General features: G+C 41.2%; 2 annotated features.

Moving 5' to 3' along the window:
• Nucleotides 251–859: an enhancer, noted in NCBI's record as "OCT4-NANOG-H3K27ac hESC enhancer chr13:46456474-46457082 (GRCh37/hg19 assembly coordinates)". NCBI's record gives its function as "activates a minimal SCP1, AML or CMV promoter by ChIP-STARR-seq in naive and primed H9 embryonic stem cells {active_cell/tissue: H9 hESC(naive and primed)}" and the evidence as "EXISTENCE:reporter gene assay evidence [ECO:0000049][PMID:30033119]".
• Nucleotides 860–1,466: an enhancer, noted in NCBI's record as "OCT4-NANOG-H3K27ac hESC enhancer chr13:46457083-46457689 (GRCh37/hg19 assembly coordinates)". NCBI's record gives its function as "activates a minimal SCP1, AML or CMV promoter by ChIP-STARR-seq in primed H9 embryonic stem cells {active_cell/tissue: H9 hESC(primed)}" and the evidence as "EXISTENCE:reporter gene assay evidence [ECO:0000049][PMID:30033119]".

A 1,803-nucleotide genomic window follows, 5' to 3' on the forward strand; every position in this document is an offset into this window, starting at 1 on the left:
ACTCACGTAATGGTCACAGAAGACTCTGTTGACTAATTGATATTTCTACTCGTGCCATTCTAACTCTATTGGAGGATATCACACCTTTGTCCTGTGAGGGTCTCTCCTCCATTTGAACAGTAATACCACCAAACACTTTAATTTCAGCCAACCTCCCACAGCACTATGGTGAATAATATGTTTATCTCTAATTTATAGTCATTCTTCTTTACACGAAGACTACAGAAGAAAAGTTATAAGAGGGGAAGGAGCCAGTGTTTATTGGATAGCACTGTGCTCCTTTTATGCTAAGCAATTTACAGATCTCATCTATTTACTGTTTTCAGGTATCCTTTACCATAAGTGGTATTATCTCCTTTTAGCAGATGAGAAAATTGTGGCCCAGAGAGATTAGGTAACAAGGTCACACAACTGGGATTGAACTCCATGTTCAAATGAATCCAAAATCCAACATGGTACGTGGGCTAAGAGGAAAAGAACTCAGAAAGACAGGAAGATTCTAGGAGGGAGACGGGAACAGCGAATGAGTGAGGAAGTGAGTAAAAGAAAGAGAATGCTGGTCTCCCTTTCTAAAATCAACATCATTAACTCTGCTCTTAACAGCGCTAACAGGGTCTTTAGCTGACTGGGCTGCTTTCTTAAGAAGAGTCCTCACAGAAAGGGCTTTGGGCCCTCCTCTCCCCCACTGGGAATCTGATTACACACATCACAGGTTACTTTGATCACTGGCATTCTTCTGCTCAAAGGATCACTCAGAGCTGCAGGCAGAGTTTCTGACTCTGCCCCAAATTAAAACACCAACTATTTGTCAAGATAGACTTTTCTTAACCAACCATCTCCAAGTATTGGAATGTCTCTGTCTAGTTGAAAATGCCCCCCAGGGAGTTACCATGGCAATCCCTGTCTGCAGAATGGCAGGATCAAATCCTTAAAAGAGACTTCCAAATTGGTGTGGCCACTTGCAGCCAGAGGCCCACACTGGGTTTTGCTGTGGGTATCTATCTGATGACCCTAGTCTAAGGCATGACAATCCAGGAGTCAAACTCAAAGTTACCGAAGACATGTGAAGCATCTCCCTCAGCCTCAGGAGTGGGTTTGCAGGGTCTTTATCAGGCTGTGCTTATTTTCCTCTGTCTTTGCCCCATCTTCCAAATTCAAAGTCAAACACTTAAAAGATTTATCTGTTATAGAAATGGACTGGCATGCAAGCTAGTGAAGAGGTAGCTTGCTCAATGAAGGCAGATAAAAGAAGATAAAAACATTTGAAGATTTGAAAATTGGAATTTGTTTTTGATAAAGAAAGATAATTTTCAAGAGATCTCAATAATTGTGCCTGTGGGGGTTTTTTGTTTTTGTTTTAAAAAATGGAATAGAAATGTAAACAGCAAAGAGGTTTGAAATGCATAGTTTGACACAGGCAAGTTTCAAAATTATACGCCCTCCAGCAAGTCAGTCTTATGCCAGGTTTTGATAAGTGCCGTGATCCATATAAAGGGGACATACAACATACCTTAGCATTTAAAAGATGTACAAGGTCAGTTACATGTGCGTGTAGGGTTTGTAGATGTGTGCAGAAAGATCTGTAAATGTTACAGAAGCATTAGGCTTTCCAATCCTCTTTTTGTAATATCTTGTTACATTGTTATTTTCCTTGGCTCTAACCACCCAGGAAGATTCCACAAAAGTCCATTCATCTCTTTCTTCCATCCCCTCTGCCTGATCTCTCTGGCCATCATAGTCTGACGCCACAGCAGGAAAAATTTAGACCCCAGCTATAAGGGACTTGGGAGCCCCAGAATCTTG

Source organism: Homo sapiens, chromosome 13, assembly GCF_000001405.40.
Source record: "Homo sapiens chromosome 13, GRCh38.p14 Primary Assembly".
NCBI lineage: Eukaryota > Metazoa > Chordata > Mammalia > Primates > Hominidae > Homo > Homo sapiens.